This window comes from Homo sapiens, chromosome 8, assembly GCF_000001405.40.
Source record: "Homo sapiens chromosome 8, GRCh38.p14 Primary Assembly".
NCBI lineage: Eukaryota > Metazoa > Chordata > Mammalia > Primates > Hominidae > Homo > Homo sapiens.
The window spans coordinates 69632477-69651386 of NC_000008.11; the positions used below are offsets into that span (position 1 = coordinate 69632477).

An 18910-nucleotide genomic window follows, 5' to 3' on the forward strand; every position below is an offset into this window, starting at 1 on the left:
TACATATTTTAATAATATTATTGCTGTATTCCTCATATTTGCTATGTCAACTTAAGCCCTTGGCACAGTGAGACTCAATAACATGAAAAAAAGAAGAAGAAAAGAAAAGTCAAATCCACCCAGGCACAAGATCCTCCAATGCAATGGTCTCTAAACATTTTTTTATTATGTACCCATATCAATTTTTAAAATAAACACACCGTCTATATTTCATTACACTAATATACAAACATGCCTGTGTATTATGAAAATATACAAAATAAAAAGGCCAAGAACAGCAATTCATGCCTGTAAACCCAGCACTTTGGGAGGCCAAGGTCAGAGGATCAGCTGAGCCCAGGAGTTCAAGACCAGCCTGAGCAACATGGTGAAACCTTGTCTCTACAAAAAAATACAAAAATTAGCCGGGCTTGGTGGTGCCCGCCTGTAGTCCCAGCTACTCGGGAGGCTGAGGTGGGAGAATCACTTGAGCATGGGAGGTGAAGGCTGCAGTGAGCCATGATTGTACTCCAGCCTGGGTGACAGAGTGAGACCGCATGTCAGAAGAAAAAAAAAAAAGAAAAGAAAGAAAAAGAAAATACACAAAATAGAAATGTAAAGTTTGAGATAAACGTTTAAAAAAGAGTTTTTAAAAATAGTTTTCATATTCTTTGGAGGTCCAAAACATTTTGTTCTCACTTATTAAAGAATGCTTAAGGAAAACAAATCTCAGTGTCCCACTTAACAATGCAGTGAGACATTCAGTTTATGTTTGATGTGTGATCTTAATTGCTTTCATATGAAACATGACTCAGAAAGATTTTCTGGTTCCATAGATGTGCTTCACGGCATGCTGAGTCAATCAGGACATTCTTTTTTTTTTTTTTTTTGAGATGGAGTTTCGCTCTTGTTGCCCAGGCTGGAGTGCAATGGTGCGTTCTCAGCTCACTGCAACCTCCGCCTCTTGGGTTCAAGTGATTCTCTTGCCTCAGCCTCCCAAGTAGCTGGGATTACAGGCGGCCACCACCACGCCTAGCTAATTTTTTTGTATTTTTAGTAGAGACAGGGTTTCCCCATGTTGGCCAGGCTGACCTCACCTGAGATCACCTGACCTCAGGTGATCCACCCGCCTCGGCCTCCCAAAGTGCTGGGATTACAGATATGAGCCACTGCACCCGGCCAGGACATTCATTTATTTATTTATTTTATTATTTTTATTTTTATTATATTTTAAGTTCTGTGGTGCATTTGCAGAACGTGCAGTTTTGTTACATAGGAATACACGTGCCATGGTGGTTTGCTGCACCCATCAACCCGTCATCTACGTTAGGTATTTTTTAATGCCACCATTAACTAGGCAGTCATCTCTATTGAAATTACACTTTTAAATGTCTGTCCTCCCTGAGATTGATCAATTATTCTTGCAAATACAAAGGTATTGTATTTGTATATTTCATGAAACAAGTTTAAAACCCATTTAAACGGTTAATTTGGAAGATTTCTACACAGATTAGAAAATTTGGGTTCCGTGGTTTTTAATGTATGTAGATGTGAGATAAATGTTCACATATAAATAATATGTTATAAATAACATAATTAGAGATCTTTTAATGAAAAGTCGTATAATGATGAAAGCATTTTCAATCATCCATTTTTAAGATATTATCTTTTCTTCACCTGTATTTGATCTAATCTGGTTCATTCAATTCAATTTAGGATTTTTTCCCCACAGCTACCCCTTCATATCGTTTCCTATAAGCTTTAGGTCTTTCTTTGAAATAAGCATATGTAGTTTGTTATCTGATTTGTTAATATCAAATCTCAAGTATTAAGGCTTTTTAATGTTTTGATATAATTTAGAAGTTCTTTAGAATAGATGGTTTTCATTAGGTGACATTCCTAGAATTATTGTCATAAGTTATTATAAATGTGGTAACATATTTTACTTAAAGGGTGCACATCTATTACAAAGACTGTTTGCGTTAAATAAAAGGTCAGAAAGGATATGAAAAGTTTAAGAGCGTAAAAGTTGGCTGGGCACAGTGACTCACACCTGTAATCCCAGCACTTTGGGAAGCCGAGGCAGGTGGATCGCTTGAGCCCAGGAGTTCAAGACCAGCCTGGGCAACATGGTGAAACCCTATCTCTACCAAAAAAATATGAAAATTATCCGGGCTTGCCTGTAGTCCCAGCTACTTGGGAGGCTGAGGTGGGAGAGTCACTTGAGCCCCAGTGGAGGAGGCTGCAGATCACACCACTGGGCGACAGAGTGAGACCCTGTCTCAAAGAAAAAAAAAGAGAGAGAGGCGGAGAGAATAAAAGTTTTAAGTTGGAGAACATAATGTGTAAAAAAAAATTTTTTTCTTTTTGAGATGGAGTTTCACTCTTGACCCCCAGGCTGGAGTGCAATGGTGCGATCTTGGCTCACTGCAACCTCCGCCTCCCGGGTTCAAGTGATTCTCCTGCCTCAGCTGGGATTACAGGCGCCTGCCACCATGCCTGGTTAATTTTTGTATTTTTAGTAGAGAAGGGGTTTCGCCATGTTGGCCAGGATGGTCTCAAACTCCTGAACTCAGGTGATCCGCCCACTGCAGCATCTCAAAGTGCTGGGATTATAGGCGTGAGCCACCGCACCTGACCGTGTAAAAATATTTAAATTAGCTAATCAACTAAAAACAAAATCATTCCTGGAGGGAGAGAGGGTTGAATAGGCAGAACACAGGATTTTTAGAGCAGTGAAACTACTCTATGTGATACAACAATGGCAGATAAATGTCATCATGCATTGTCCAAACCCAGAGGATGTGCAACACCAAGAGTAAACACAAATGTAAACTATGAACTTTGAGTGACAATGATGTCTCAATATAGGCTCATTGATTGTAACAAATGTGCCACCCTGGTGAGGGATGTCTATGGTGAGAGAGGTTATGTATCTGTGGGGACTGGGGTTATAAATAAGAATGCTCTGTACTTTTCCCTCAAAACCGCTCTAAAAAATAGTCTATTAAAATAATTTTTTAAAATCATTTCTCATTCATTGTTTAAAACATCTCTTTTAGCCTAAGGGGACAGATTTAGTGTGTCTGATACTACATAGGATAGCAGAGTCTAGTAATTAAGAGTAAACTCTTGCCCGGGTGTGGTGGCTCACGCCTGTAAGCCCAACACTTTGAGAGACCGAGGCAGGCAGATCGCTTGAGTGTCGGAGTTCGAGACCAGCCTAGGCAACATGCCAAGACCAATCTCTACAAAAAATAAAATATTAGCCGGGTGTGATGGTGCATACCTGTAGTCCCAGCACCACAGGCGGCTGAACTGACAGGATCACTTGAGCCTGGGAGGTCAAAGCTGCAGTGAGCCTTAATCATGCCACTGCACTCGAGCTTGGGCAACAGAGCAAGAAACTGTCTCAAAAAAAAAAAAAAGTAAACTCTGTAGCCAGATCCCAGTGCTACCAGTTGTCAGCCAGGTGACCTTGGACAAATTACTTAACATCTCCTTGCCTCAGGTTTTTCCATCTGTTAACATGAGGATGATAATAATAACCTCTGTCTCAAGAGGTAGCTTTGGGGATTAAATGAGTTAAAGTACATAGTGCACAAGGAATGCTCATTACGTGTACCTATCCTATTAGGTTGGTGCAAAAGCAATTGCAGTTTCAGACCGTGAATTTTAAATCATTATAACTGGGCTCAAACACATCTTTCTCAATCAAAATAGGAACCATTACACCCAACGCATTTTCGCCACGAGAAATAAGTTTGTTTATTCCTGTAGCATAAAAATTCATGTTTCAGACCGGGCGCGGTGGCTCACACCTGTAATCCCAACACTTTGGGAGGCCGAGATGGGCAGATCACGAGGTCAGGAGATCAAGACCATCCTGGCTAACACGGTGAAACCCCGTCTCTACTAAAAATACAAAAAAATTAACTGGGGGTGGTGGCGGGCGCCTGTAGTCCCAGCTACTTGGGAGGCTGAGGAAGGAGAACGGTGTGAACCCAGGAGGCGGAGCTTGCAGTGAGCCGAGATCGCTCCACTGCACTCCAGCCTGGGCGACAGAGCGATACTCCATCTCAAGAAAAAAAAAAAAATTGTGCTTCAGGATTCAATGAACTCTTGGAAAGCATTTTCTACGTTCTGCTGGTTGTGGAAGTGTTTTCCCTACAGAAAGTTGTCGAGATGCTTGAAGAAGTGGTAGTCGATTGGCGAGAGGTCAGGTGAATACAGCAGATGAGGCAAAACTTCGTAGCCCAATTTGTTCAACTTTTGAAGCGTTGGTTGTGTGACATTCAGTCAGGCACTGTCGTGGAGAAGAATTGGGCCCTTTCTGTTGACCGATGCCGGCTGCAGACATTGCAGTTTTTGATGCATCTCATTGATTTGCCGAACATACTTCTCAGATGTACTGGTTTGGCCAGGATTCAGAAAGCTGTAGTGGATCAAACCAGCAGCAGGCCACCAAAGAGTGACCGTGACCTTTTTTGGTGTGAATTTGGCTTTGGGAAGTGCTTTAGAGCTTCTTCTTGTTCCAGCCACTGAGCTGTTCATCGCACGTCACAATCTGATTAAGAAATGGTTCGTTGTTGTTGCATAGAATAAGAGAAGACAACACTTCAAAACGACAATATTTTTTATTTTCCTCTCAGCTCATAAGGCACCCACTTACCGAGCTTTTTCACCTTTCTGATTTGTTTCAAATGCCAAATGACCATAGAAGGGTCGACGTTGAGTTCTTCCACAAATTCTCATGTAGCTGTAAGAGGATCAGCTTCAATGATTGCTCTCAAGGTCATTGTCAACTTCCAATGGTCCACCACTACACTCCTCATCTTCAGGGCTTTCATCTCCTTTGCAAAACTTGTTGAACCACCACTCCACTGTATGTTCGTTAGCAGTTCCTGGGCCAAATGCTTTGTTAATGTTGCGAGTTGTCTCCGCTGCTTTACGATCCATTTTGAACTCAAATAAGAAAATCACTCGAATTTAGTTTTTGTCTAACACCATTTCCATAGTCTAAAATAAACATGAAGAGCAAGTAATACATTATTAGCAAAAAAATAAAGCAAGAAATGCCCATTAAAATGATGATTAATATAACCACATTTATTGAAGAATGTATTCCAATATCAAACAGCAAATTTCAACAATGCAAAAACCGTAATTACGTTTGCACCAACCTAATAGTTGTTTCTAAAAAAATTTTGCTGGGCCAGGCACAGTGGTGCATGCCTGTAGTCCCAGCTACTTGGGAAGCTGAGGATCACTTGAGCCCAGGAGTTCTAGTCCAGCCTGGGTAACATAGAGAGACCCCATCTCTTAAAAAATACTTGTTAGGCAGCACATTTCTGAAATTCAAGAAAGGTCAGCAAATTTGGAACATGTGCCCTTTTGTAAACAGAAGAGTAGATGAGTTGATTATAAATGGGACATCTCTTCTGCATACATTCTACAAGTTAACCAGAGGGCTATGTGGTATAAAAGATGTTTGTGGTCACAGCCTAGCTCAGGCTAGAGTGTTGCAGAGACCATCCCAAATCCTCCAGGCTGGGCTCAAGGCTTCTCTAAACCCTTCTTTGTTGCAAAATCCCATCTTTTCATGCTTCATTGGTGACATGTGGCCATCTGCCACATAGAACAAGTGAGAGTACTAGTTCCATATCTTTATTAAATAACCATTTTTCTTTTGTACAAAGAATAAATAGAAATTCTGATATTTTTCTTCTCATACTTCCGTCACTCACCCCTCTTTGGAAACCACTGCATAACAGAGCTAAGGGGAGGATAAACTAATGTGCCTGAAATTTTACTTTAGTCTTCAGCCTATAAGAGATCACTATCTTTTTTCCCATTTTCACCTAGTTTCACAGCAAATTTACCTACGGGGGGAAAGGTATTATTATTCTTAACATGAAACCACAATATTTATAAGAAAGAAATTGTGAACTTTAAAGTGTAAAGATAAGGGAACACTGGAATGGCAAGCCTGCCTAAGGTTTTTCACTCTTTTTGTTTTGTTGTGTTTTTCTTTTTTACCCAACAGTGGGATCTTTCTGTGCTTGCACGAGTTCTAACAATAACACCTACTGGTGTTTGCGTACAGTTAATGAGACGCATAATTTTCTTTTCTGTGAGTTTGCTACTGGCTTTTTGGAGTATTTTGATATGAATACAGATCCTTATCAGGTAAGACAATATATGTTCATTTTATGAAGGTTGTTGAAAATAGGATAACCAGACATAAGCTTAAATAGATTGTCCTGTCTGCATTCACAGCTCACAAATACAGTGCACACGGTAGAACGAGGCATTTTGAATCAGCTACACGTACAACTAATGGAGCTCAGAAGCTGTCAAGGATATAAGCAGTGCAACCCAAGACCTAAGAATCTTGATGTTGGTAAGGAAAAAAATACTATTTTTTCTATTTTACCTGGAAAATTCTTTGTGTTACTGAGCTTTCTGCCTTGGAAACATTTAATTGCACAGAAACATATAATTCAAGATACTTAGAGGAGACACTTTCCAGGCAATTCTAAATACAATTTGATCTCTAAGTTTAGCTCTGGTGTACTAATGAAAAGCTTAATCCACCAAAAGATTTGGTGAGCATTTCCTTCCAATATCTCCCACAGGTCTATTCTATTAGTAAACCTTGATTCCTGATAGAAGCATCTGTTGGAAGATGACACGAAAGCGTTAGGTATTTGTTTGTTATTGCTGTCAACAGTCTGAAGATATACTCTGAGTAAACCAGGATATTCTCTTTTTTTAAGAGAACTTTGATGGAAAGACACAATGCTCTATTTCTGCTGTCCCAGTTTGGAGTTCCCCCAGTTGGATCCCTGCCTATGACACTGAATTAGATTTCTTTTGCCAGTATTTTTCGTCTGAAACTAGAGATATTGGAGCAGTTCATTAACTTGGGATCTAAAAATATAAGAGGATCTGAATGGAATCAGCCAGATGTTCCTTCCCAGCTATGTGTGTTAAACTGGCTTATTTCTCCTTTGTTTCATGGAGATGCAGTTCTTTTCAGTGTCCGCCCCAGCTCTTTTCTGGTTAATGAAAATACTCATTTCCTCCTCATGATGTCTGCAGAAATGTAAATACCAGCTGTCCATACAAGGAAGGAGGAAGAACTAAAGCTGGCAAGGGCATGGACCTTGGCATGGCATGCCAACTCCAGAAGGGTGAAGAGCTGGACTCACAGGCACTTGGGTGCAGTTTGCAGGAGCTTTTTGTGGTGCCGCTGGGTTTTCTCTGTGAGTCTGGTGCAGAGCCAGTGTCATCAACAGTAAAAGTGGGCAGCTTTCTGGGTCACATGCCTTGAAAGGGGTAGGGATTCCCATCCCAGAATGATCAATATCACCACCTGTCATCTCCTTTCCACTGCAGGGTCACAAAGGCTTTTGAGTTCTGGGAGTCCCCTAAGAAAATATAAATCCTCAGTTCTCAATCAACACCTCTCAATTAACACTTAGTGGAATCAGTTGTCAGTCAAGAGCAGACTGTACTTGCAAAATAGGTCTTTTGGTCACTGACCCCACTCGGCTCAAATCTTTTCAAATATCCTGCTTATCTGTTGACCTTTTCCTCAAATCTTACAAAAAAAAGAGAGAGAGAGAGGGAGGGAGGGAGAGAGAGAGAGAGGAAGGAAGAAAGGAAGGAAGAAGGAAGGAAGGAAGGAAAGAAAGAAAGAAAAAAAGAAAGAAAGAAAGAGAAAAGAAAGAAAGAGAGAGAGAGAGAAAGAGCCTGCAAAGACTTGGAATCTCAACCAACCATTAGAGGCACTAGAAATATTATACCCAGATATTTCTCCCCAAAAGAACATAGGACTTTTATTGGTGGTGACATAACAACTCTACTTAGTGAAATCTGATCGAGTCCCTTAATGGTGAAATGACACACTGGGTGGAGCCAGTTATGCTGTTTCACTTCAAGCCGTCCTCTCCACCTTCCAGACTATTCCTATGGGAGATGATTATTAGCCCGTTTTTTTCCAATGTTTTGTCTAAAAATAACCAAAATTTAACTTTTCCTGAGAATTACATGGACTTCTGGAAGTACTTTTCCCACTGCTTTTAAGTGGGCTCTCCTCCCTTTAACACCCACCCATTTTTTTCATATGAACTCTTATTTTTTTTTTTATCTTAAACCTTTTCATTCATAGCTTTCAATCTGCATTTTGAACCTAATAGGAAATCTCTGTTGGGCTTCAGCACTGTCTGTATTTAACACCATGTGTTTCTTTCTAGGATTTAGATGTTGTGCATGAAAAACTATATAGTGAATGGTTTTATAAGTTCTAAAGCTAACAGAAATTACTCTTGTATTTTCCTATATCAGGAAATAAAGATGGAGGAAGCTATGACCTACACAGGTATTCACACTTTTTTATTCTTCTCAACAGCTTCTTCCCCAATAATTGCATGATCCAGTGGTTTCAACTAATTTCTGTTTCTTACCGTGTTGCACAGAGCAAAGCTGGGGGTGCATGCTTGTTCTAACAGCATTCTCCACTATGTTTTGTCATTGATCACAGAACTGTCATTTTGCTTTTAAATCAGCTCACTGTCCCATCAAGATGTTCCAGAGCATTTACTCACTCCCATGCTTGTTTGCTTGTTGGATGATGCTTTTAAGCATGGAATGATGTGAAGGAAAAAAAACAGAATGGCCTTTGGGAGCCCCGGGAAAGGGTGGGAGATTTATTTTCTTTGTGGTACTTACACATTGATTTGGTGGGGGAGCTTCATGAAAATGGGTTGGAGATTTTTATTAAATATAGCATCAAAGGCACAAAATGACTAATGAGAATTTTAAGAGCACTGTAAGGCCGAAGTTGAAGGAAACAAGGAATTTCTTTGTTGATGTTCATTCATTAACTTTGGTGGTGAAAAGCAGCAGCCGTAAGATTCTGAAAGCTCTGCAGAGAGGTGGTGAATAACGAGAAGGTGCTGGGAGTTGGGGACAGAGTACCGGGAGTCAAGATACTAGTAAAGGGCCACACACAGTGGCTCACACCTGTAATCCTAGCACTATGGGAGCCCAAGCGGGAGGATTGCTTGAGTCCAGGAGTTTGAGACTAGCTTGGGCAACAAAGTGAGATAAAAAAAAATTTTTAACTAGCCAGGTGTGGTGATGCACACCTGTAGTCCCAGCTACTCAGCTACTCAAGAAGCTGAGGCAGGAGGATCGCTTGAGCCCAGGAGGTTGAGGCTGCAGTGAGCTATGATAGTGACACTGACCTCCAGCCTGAGGGACAGAGAGAGACCCTGTCTCTAAAAATAAATAAATAAATAAAAAAATAAAGACACTCAATAGTGTCAACACAGCACCAAGACAACACACAAACATTCCATAAACAACCCTCAGCCCTGTCATTTTATGCCCCTCCAACCCTCATCCATCCCTCACTGTGCTCTGGAGGGGGGACGCACGCTCCTGATGGCCGTGTCACTTGGTCACCTGGCAATATTCGCCATTGCTAATTTTCTACTCTGAGCACAGACCTCAGGCAGGTCTGCCACCCGAAGCAGCTGGGCACTGTCCTTACCGCCTCTGCTGAGACAAAACTGAGGCACAGACGTTACCAGTACCCTAGTTAATGTATCCACTTGGGAGAAAAACATCCGTCAAAGAAATGTGAACTTAATTGGTGCCATCTATATTAATATCTTCTTTATCTATATTAATATCTTCTTTATCTATATTAATATCTTCTTCATCTGTATTAATATCTTTAAAATTAACATCCCAAAGAATGTTGCTGTTCCTGGTACCCTGTTCGGCCCCTCTAACCTCCAGAGCTATGGTCTCAGATGCTTCCTTTTAGAGAGAAGGTCATTAGTCCACCAAGAAGCCAAATGACAACAGGAAAGGTGATGGGAAGATGAAAACAAAGGAAGGTGGACTTTTGGGTATATGTTATAGCCATGTATGTATGTCTTCTTTTTTCTATTTTCTCTTGTTCTTCATCTTAACTGTCCTCAATCTGCCCCACACCAACCCTGTGTCACTCCCAGCACACATAAGACAGAGCAGAAGACCCCATCCTTGAGCTGGTCTCCCCTGGGTATGGGCTGAGGTAACATCCCACACACCAGGACGATCTTCCCTGCCTCCCATCGGTCACATTAAGACATTTTCAAAGTGTAATATTATAAATGGACCTACCTCTAAATATTGACTTTACAGTTATTTTATGAGGCACTCAATTTATAGCTAAGGGTTTTTCAGTCTAGTGTCATGAAAGAGATAAAAGGGTGTTCACAGATTATTTAAGACATAAGGCTGGTCAGGGATGAGTCAGAGAGTCATTCTCCATGAAGTCACCCCTGGCCAACTTTGAAAGGAAGAATGTTTAACTGCACTTTGGGCGTAAATGACAAGCATCTGGGACCCTCCCCTTCCCTGATCCCTGCCACCACCACTCAATCGGCCAGATAATCAATTGTTTCTGAGGTCACTTTCACATAATCTTGGCAACTTTAGTTGTTGAAAGCATGCATGCAGGGGCAACATGGTGTTACCTGTTGCTTTTTTTTTCCCCCTTCTAAGCTCCTTACCAGAGAGCAGATCTAAGGATACTGTGTAACTTGAAATAACCGGCATTTTCAGACTTTGCCATTTCATAGTCCATAGGGCAAGCCATCTTTCAGTGGATATCCACATGGTGGGCAGGAAATCTTGACATTGGTTTCTCAGAAAATATCTGCCTAGTCACACCTGGGAATTCACTAAACACCCAAATGCAGTGTTTGATGTGGCCTTACCTGCTCCTTGTATCTTATTGGATTGAATGAGAACAGATGCAAAACAAGTATGTACAGAAATGCCAGGAAAACTACTGTCTTCCAATGGGGTTCAACAGTTCAAAGCCCTCCATTGATGGAGCCACTTAGGAGGTTTCAGTGTCTTAATTCTTTTAGATTTTGACAGTTTTAGAAAACTAAAAAAAAAAAAAACAAGTTTTTATCGTGAAATTTGATTACAAAAGATTTTGAGAGAAATGATAAGAACCAGATCTGAAGAATTTGAAATTTGAAAATTCAGCAGAGCATTTTTTTAAATGTATCTTGTACAAGATGAACTAAATAAATGTTTTTAAACTGACTTCTTTTTGGTGGATTTCAAAAGTTAACCTTCAGACTTATTTAGAGGGTTTTCATAAAGCAAGTTTTTTTCTGTTGCTGCTCAATTTCTTTCTTTTCTTTTCTATCTTTTCTTTTCTCTTCCTTTTGCTGTTCCCTGTGTGTGAAGCAGGAGGGGCAGCTGAAATGCTTTGCATACTCACCCTGGTCATTTTCCAGTTAGGACAAGCTCAAAGGGAGAGCACAGCTCAGAAGGTGGCACTCATGACTCAGGAAATAATTTGTGGCTCATTTGAAAGCAGCATCTTCTAAGTGTGTTGCAAAATAGAGAAAAATCAACAGGTTGTTGGGGTGTTTATTTTCCCCACTGCGTATGAAAGCTGGTGCTGCTGCCCTTTGATGGCCAAGAGGAGCTCCTGGCAGCCGTGGCCATGTGTCCCGGGGGTGTGTGGGGCAGGCGGTCAGTTCTTGGCAGCCTTCCTCTGGCAGGGCTGCTTCCTGATCCTTTGCTTCAAGCCTTCTGGGCTGTTAGACCACACAGAGCTCCACCCTCAGCAGCCACGCTGTAACCACATTGCTTTCACTGATTTTGACTCATCTCCCCCATAGTGACAGTGTGTGCCAAAGGTGGCTGTGGGTGACACAGCCGTGTGTTCGTGCTGTACGGCACTGTGGTCATGGGGGTGGACGCTGGAGCTCCTGATTAGTTTGAGTTCAAATCCCAGCCTCGCTGGTGGGCATGCTTAGAACAGACCCTAGCAGGCGCCAAGCCCCAGTAAGTGGTGGAGTCATTGGTAAAGGATAATGCTGAATGCAGGACATTTATATGGATGAAAGAGTATGGGAAAGGGAATTTCAGTGATATGAATTCCAAAGCGTGTTAGTATATTTTATAAGAAACAAAAAGGTATTCACCAGCACCACCAAACTCCATCATCAGTCACAGGCAACCAAGAATTGATCACTCTCCCAGAACTTTGGGAGGCCGAGGCAGGCAGATCACGAGGTCAGGAGATCGAGACCATCCTGGCTAACACGGTGAAACCCCGTCTGTACTAAAAATACAAAAAAAAAAGAAAAATTAGCCGGGCATGGTGGCGGGAGGCTGAGGCAGGAGAATGGCGTGAACCCGGGAGGCGGAGCTTGCAGTGAGCCGAGATCACGCCACTGGACTCCTGCCTGAGTGACAGAGGGAGACGCCGTCTCAAAAAAAAAAAAAAAAAAAAGAATTGAGCACTCAAGTCCGTCTTCTAAACTGCCTGAACCTCTTGAGATGAGAAGAACAAAACAAACCTGCGCTGTCCTGATGTAGGTTACCCTAATGGAGCTTCCTGGGTTCTCCTCTCCCTGTCACATCTCAGGGACTCCACCTTATTTTAAAGCTGTCTTACTAGCACTGTTGGACTTTTCTGTTTCAGATGCTCAAACAAGAGATGGAGCAGGGGCAGGGTTTGGGGTTAAATGGGCTGGAGGTGAGATTGGCCCCCCTAAGGTGTTGAGGACACTTGGGGTGAAAGTCGTTAGGGTATATGTAGGTCAGAGCCAGGGCCGCTGCGTGCACAGAGGTGTGTCATGGAGCGGCCAGTAGGCACCAAAATCCAGCCAAAGCTCGGCCATGAGAGCTGGGTAGCGGCAGGGGTGACAACAGTGGCCACCCTGGTAAGGTTAAGGTCAGACTTGGGTTAGTCTAAGCTGTCAGAGGGTGTTCATCATTTTTCTTACCTTTCCAATAGTGACCCTATTCCAAAGGCCTTGTTTCTTGTGCCAGAGAAGAAACTAAAGTATAGCACGTGCAGAACTCCTTAAGATCCTCCCCAGGCTGCGGAATGAAATGTATCTTTAATCAGTTCCAATATATAGGGGGAAAATGTGCCCTCATTCATCCATGCAACATATAAAGACAGAAAGAATCGAAACAACCACCTCTGTGCCAAACGCCGCCTTCACAGGGAGTGCAGTCTGGTGTTAGAATGCACGATGCAAAGTGCCTTGACCAGAAATATATGGCGTCATAAGAGCCAGGAGAGGGCCCCAACCCAACCCTGAGAAATCAAAGGAAGCTTTCCAAGGAGTTGGCATTTATGCCGCATCCTGAAGGCAACAGTGCAGTGATCCAGACACAGGATGGAAAAGGAAGTCAGTCCAACCAGAAGGCAAGACTCGTGTGGGGACTTATCATCAGTTCCGTGACAGTGCAAGGGAAGGAGAAGAGAAGGATGAGCTGAAAAGGCAACCAGGGCCTATTTTATGGAGTGTGTTATATGGAGAATGATGATATGATGTATCTTCCAAACAGGGATGTTTTGACCATGGGGGAGGAGTACTAAAAATAGTTAATTATTTATATTAATTATTATTTATATTAATTCTATATAAATATTGTTATGTATTTGTTTACCAATGAACTAGTCAGTAGATCTATAAAACAGTTGTATTTAAAACTATTTTCTAAGCTAAAATGTCAAAAATTCTGGACAAATGCCAAAATGAACAGGGTACCAGTACAGCAGATACAAACTGGGACCCTCCCAGGCAAACGAAAAATGTGGTCACCCTAGTTACATGCTACATCAAAGGATGTAATCCCTGTCCTAAAAGCAATAGGCAGACATTCAAGAGTATTAAACTGGGAGAAATAATATGAGAGGATTTGGGCTGATCAGATTAGGTGGCATAAATAGTTATGAGAATAGTTTTGTGAGTCACATTGGTTTGTGGGTCAGTTCTGGCTCCATCACTTCCCAATTTGAGGACCAGTTGCTAACAGTATTACAACACTTACTGTGGTCCAGCGCTCTTCTGAATGCTTTCGTATATTAATGTATGTAACCCTCTCGATAACTTCGTGAGGTCAGTACTATTATTATCCTCATTTTTTTTTTTTTTTTTAAGACGGAGTCTCACACTGTCGCCTGGGCTGGAGGGCCGTGGCACCATCTTGGCTCACTGCAACCTCCATCTCCCAGGTTCAAGCAATTCTCCTTGCCTCAGCCTCCCAGGTAGCTGGGATTACAGGTGCCTGCCACCACACCCAGCTTATTATCCCCATTTTACAGATGAGGAAATTAAGCCACAGAGTGACTAAATAACTTTCCCAAGATTACACAGCTGATAAATGGTGAAATTCAAACCCAGCGAGTCTGGTTCTAGCTGTGCTGTTCATCTCTACACTATACTGATTCTCTTGGACAATTTATTTAACTTCTTTTATTATGGCTGAATTTTCTCATCTTTAAAAAGGTGATAATACATACACATAATAATACACAAGGATTTCATGAGATATTACCTGAAAAGTAAGCCCTGAATTCATATTATTGTATGACTGAAGTTTGATAATAAATTTGATTAGTGAGAGACAAATTGTATCAAAGAGCCCTGGAATTTTTTTTTTTTTTTTTTTTTTTTGAGGTGGAGTCTTGCTCTGTCACCCAGGCTGGAGTGCAGTGACACAATCTTGGCTCACTGCAACCTCCACCTCCCAGGTTCAAGCAATTCCCCTGCCTCAGCCTCCCTAGTAGCTGGGACTACAGGCACAGACCACCATGCCTGGCTAATTTTTGTATTTTTAGTAGAGATGGGGTTTCACCATGTTCGTCAGGCTGGTCTCGAACTCCTGCTCAAGTGATCCTCCCACCTCAGCCTCCCAAAGTGCTGAGATTACAGGTATGAGCCACTGCGCCTGGCTGAGCCCTGGAATTTTGAAGGACATTTATCTTCACATTAATGGATGACAAAATTGCAGTTTTTAATGTCAATGCTATATTAATAAAGAGGAAAAGTTATGTGCATTTACCAATAAGTAGATATAATCAGCCATTAACCACACACAAGGTAGTCATCTATAAATGACATATATATTTATTTCTATTTTTAGACTATCTTTAGGGTTGAACATTAATTGGCTTTCATTTGTAAAATAAATAGCTATTCCTACAATTCATCCATAAAATTATGTAGGTTAGAAATTTATGGTCTTCTGGTTGCTCTGCCTGTGGAGTAGCCATTTTTTATTCCTTTGCTTTCTTAATAAACTTCCTTTCACCTTACAAAAAAAATAAAAACGGCTAGGCACAGTGGCTCACACCTGTAATCGCAGCACTTTGGGAGGCCAAGGTGGGCAGATCACCTCGTTCGAGACCAGCCTGACCAACATGGAGAAACCCTGTCTCTACTAAAAATACAAAATTACCCGGACGTGGTGGTGCATGCCTGTAATCCCAGCTACTCGGGAGGCTGAGACAGGAGAATGGCTTGAACCCAGGAGGCGGAGGTTGCAATGAGCCAAGATCGCGCCATTGCACTCCAGCCTGGGCAACAAGAGTGATACTCTGTCTCAAAAAAGAAAGAAATTTATGGTATTTTTACTATGGCCAATTCTGATTTTGGTGTCCTGCTAGTATCAAAAAGCCAATTTACAATTTGCTTTTGGATACTAGCAGGACGCCAAAATCAGAACCTCTGAAATTTCAAAGCCTAAATCAAATTCCATTTCAAGCTAAAACATATTATGTTTCAAGTAGCATGAAAATCACCCAAGATGAATACCAGTTTGGTCCAAATATTGGAAACCCTGTGCCTTCAGAAAAAAAAAAAAAACAAAGAGCTCAGCAAAACATGGAAGGGCTTAGGAGAAAGGAGCAGATGTATTAACGCAGATAGTCTGTTCGGGCTCTTCCCATTGTGAAGTTTAAATTAGTACCATTAGAAATGAGACTTGGAAGAGAATAGCTATATTAATTAAAATATCCTGCCAGATAGCAACAAGCAACAAACTACATATAATGCTTTATGATTTTTCTGATCGACCCATTGCTTGCTTCTTGAAACTGTAGACACCTGGCCCGGTGAAATTCAATTTGCTACTGAGCACAGGTACCCAGAATCAGGTATAGATGATGCCATAATGGAGGGGTTCACACAACCCAGGGGAACGGCCAGAGAGGCTCTGTGGAGGGGATGAGAGCTCCTCTTGAAGGCTGAGAGCTGACTGGGCTAATGAGGCAGGGAAGTACATTCTAGAAATAAATACAAACACTGAGGAAGGAGAGAGCCTGGTACTTTCAGGACATTGCACTTGTTCCTGTGGCTGGTACAGAGGTGATGTGCCAAAGGGGAAGAGAAGAGGCCACAGAAGCTGCAGAAGTCAGCCTGTGTCTGCAGAAACAATCCCTTCTGCTTCTTATGACACCATCAGCACCTGTTAATTATAACACTGCTCCAGGTAGAGTTAAAATTCCATGCATGCATGATCTCTTAAATTACCCGTCTGTGGAATATAGCATGATGTAATTCTGTGGTTAAGTTTTTAAAAGTAAGTAAGTGTCATCCAGAAAGAAATGTGACTTGGCTTGCGACCTGGGTATGTTCTTGAATTTGTCTTAATGGATTCACGGCTTTTCTGTTTCCGGGATTGGGGAATAATTATCTGTAATGTGAAATCATCTACATTTATTCTGAAAATTCACCTGTCAGAACAAGCCTATCTATACCTTTTCTCTCTGAATAAACAGCTTCCAAACGACCAAAGAAAAAGGTTTCCTTTTTTGAGCTGAAGACAGGCAGAAACCAGGAGACACATGGAAAATTTAAGTTCTAATGTCGAATAAATTTAACTTTCTATTTTGATATAACTTTACATTTACAGAAAGGTCGCAAGAATAATTTCAAGAACTGTTACCCCATTTGCTTTATTGTTTTTTCTTGTTCTTTCACTCACTTTCTCCACACACCTTTTTTTTCTGAATCATTTGCAAGTAATTTGCAAACATCATTCCCCTTTATATATAAATGCTTTAGGAGGTATTTCCGTAGAACAAAAACATTCTCTTACATAACTGTTATGCATTTATCAAAATCAAGCAATTTAACATTGTTACAAAGCAATTGTCAAATCTACATTTCATGTTCAAATGTTAACAATTGTCCCAATAATGCCATATTCATCATTTTTTGCTTTTCTGGCCTGGGATCCAATCCAGAATCACACATTGCAGGAAACTCACCTCTTTTTAGAGTATTCTTTTATCTGGAACAGTTCCTCAACTTCTCATTATCAGTCATGATATTTTAAAGAGTGCATGCCAGTTATTTTGTAAAATGTCCCTCTGTTGGGGTTTGTCTGATGTTTCATCAGGATTGAATTGAAGCTGTGGATTTTTGTCAGGAATACCACATATTGTGCTCTCGGGATATCTTATCAGGAGCTGCATAACATCTTGGTGGTATTACCTTTGATTACTTGGCAAAGGTGGAGTTTGCTAGGTGAAGCCACTATAATTTTTTTCTTTTTTAATTAATAAGTAATTCATCTACCAGCTTTTAAGGCATTCACGATTCATTTCTGCCTGAATCATTTGTTGTTACCATGATGGTTGCAAATGATGGTTTCTCCCACTCTGTAATTCCTCCTGCTTGCTTTTTTTTTTTTTTTTTTTTTTTTTTTTTTTTTTTTTGTCTGAGACACGGTCTTGCTCTGTCACCCAGGCTGGAGTACAGTGTTGCAATCTTGGCTTACTGCAGGCTTGACCCCCCAGGCTCAAGGGATCCTGCCACCTCAGCCTCCCAAGTAGCTGGGATTACAGGCGCATGCCACCACACTCAGCTAATTTTTAAAAATTTATTTTGTAGAGACAAGGTCTCACTATATTGCCCAGGCTAGTCTCAAACTCCTAGGCTCAAGCGATTCTCCCATCTCTCAACCTCCCGAATTGCTGGGATTACAGTCATGAACCATCGTGCCTGGCTCCTCCTGCATTTCTTAGGTAGTATTGTACTGTAAAGAAGAGATTTCCCGGCCAGATATGGAGGCTCACACCTGTAATCCCAGCACTTTGGAAGGCTGAGGTGGGAGGAATACGTGCTTGAGCTCAGAAGTTCAAGACCGGCCTGAGCAGCATAGCAAGACCTTATCTCTACTAAAAATACAACATTCAAAACATTAGCTGGGCTTAGTCCCAGCACCTGTTGTCCCAGTTACTCAGAGGCAGAGCTTGCAGTGAGCTGAGATAGCACCACTACATTCCAACCTGGATGACAGAGCCAGACCCTGTTTCAAAAATATGAAAGAAGAGATTTTCCTCCTCTCCTGCGTATTTATTTCTATCAGTATGGACTTAGATTCTCAGTTTATTCCATGGATATTCTCTTGCTATCATTATTTATTTTGATGATTAAAGTGTCTTAGATTGGCCACTGGTGTCCCTGCACCTGGATTCCGTGTACTTTTGAAGCATCCTCATCATTTTTTGACCACCTCGTTGCTTTCTGGCCTAAAAGCATGTTCCAGGTTCATATGGCATTTTTGCCACTCCACATTTGGAAACAGCCATTTCTCCAAAGGGCCCCAGTTCCTTTTAAAGGGGAATGGCATTTGAACACCAAGATCTGGGTCTGAGGTGTATAAAATTGCTGCTGAGGTGTCTTGGCATATAGATCCTTTTGATGGATAGAGCTAAGAGACACACTGGCATCTATCAACATCTATTCTTTTTTTTCTTTTCTTTTTTTTTTTTTTTGAGACAGAGTTTTGCTCTGTCTCCCAAGCTGGAGTGCAGTGGCATGATCTTGGCTCACTGTAACCTCCACTTTCTGGGTTCAAGCCATTCTTCTTCCTCCCCTCCCGAGTAGCTGGGATTGCAGGCACCTGCCACCATGCCCAGCTAATTTTTGTATTTTTAGTAGAGACAGGGTTTCACCATGTTGGCCAGGCTGGTCTTGAACTCCTGACCTCAGGTGATCCGCCCACCTCAGCCTTCCAGAGTGCTAGGATTACAGGCATGAGCCACCGCGCCCAGCCTCGACATCTATTGTTGTACCTACAGATATGTAGA

The 18910-nt window shown here is 41.5% G+C and overlaps 1 protein-coding gene across 33 annotated transcripts in view, besides 2 other annotated features; it reads left to right on the forward strand.

Annotated features, from left to right (window-relative positions):
- SULF1 (sulfatase 1) overlaps positions 1 to 18910 on the forward strand; it is a 194132-nt gene that overhangs the window by 165696 nt on the left and 9526 nt on the right. For 16 of the 33 annotated variants that reach the window (NR_182053.1, NM_001412835.1, NM_015170.3 and 13 more), the window contains 3 exons: positions 6026 to 6168; positions 6259 to 6382; positions 8332 to 8365. Coding sequence is in view for 26 of the 33 variants with exons in the window: in NM_001412835.1 (NP_001399764.1) it covers positions 6026 to 6168; positions 6259 to 6382; positions 8332 to 8365 (301 nt within the window). In the remaining 7 variants the exon portion in view is untranslated. Of the gene's footprint in view, positions 1 to 6025; positions 6169 to 6258; positions 6383 to 8331; positions 11101 to 18910 lie in introns of those variants that run through there. The other 17 variants (NM_001412828.1, NM_001412846.1, NM_001412829.1 and 14 more) reach the window with 5 other exon arrangements.
- Positions 10205 to 10405: a silencer, noted in NCBI's record as "peak7064 fragment used in MPRA reporter construct". NCBI's record gives its function as "represses an SCP1 promoter by STARR-seq MPRAs in K562 erythroleukemia cells {active_cell/tissue: K562}" and the evidence as "EXISTENCE:reporter gene assay evidence [ECO:0000049][PMID:32103011]".
- Positions 11606 to 12157: an enhancer, noted in NCBI's record as "H3K4me1 hESC enhancer chr8:70556317-70556868 (GRCh37/hg19 assembly coordinates)". NCBI's record gives its function as "activates a minimal SCP1, AML or CMV promoter by ChIP-STARR-seq in naive H9 embryonic stem cells {active_cell/tissue: H9 hESC(naive)}" and the evidence as "EXISTENCE:reporter gene assay evidence [ECO:0000049][PMID:30033119]".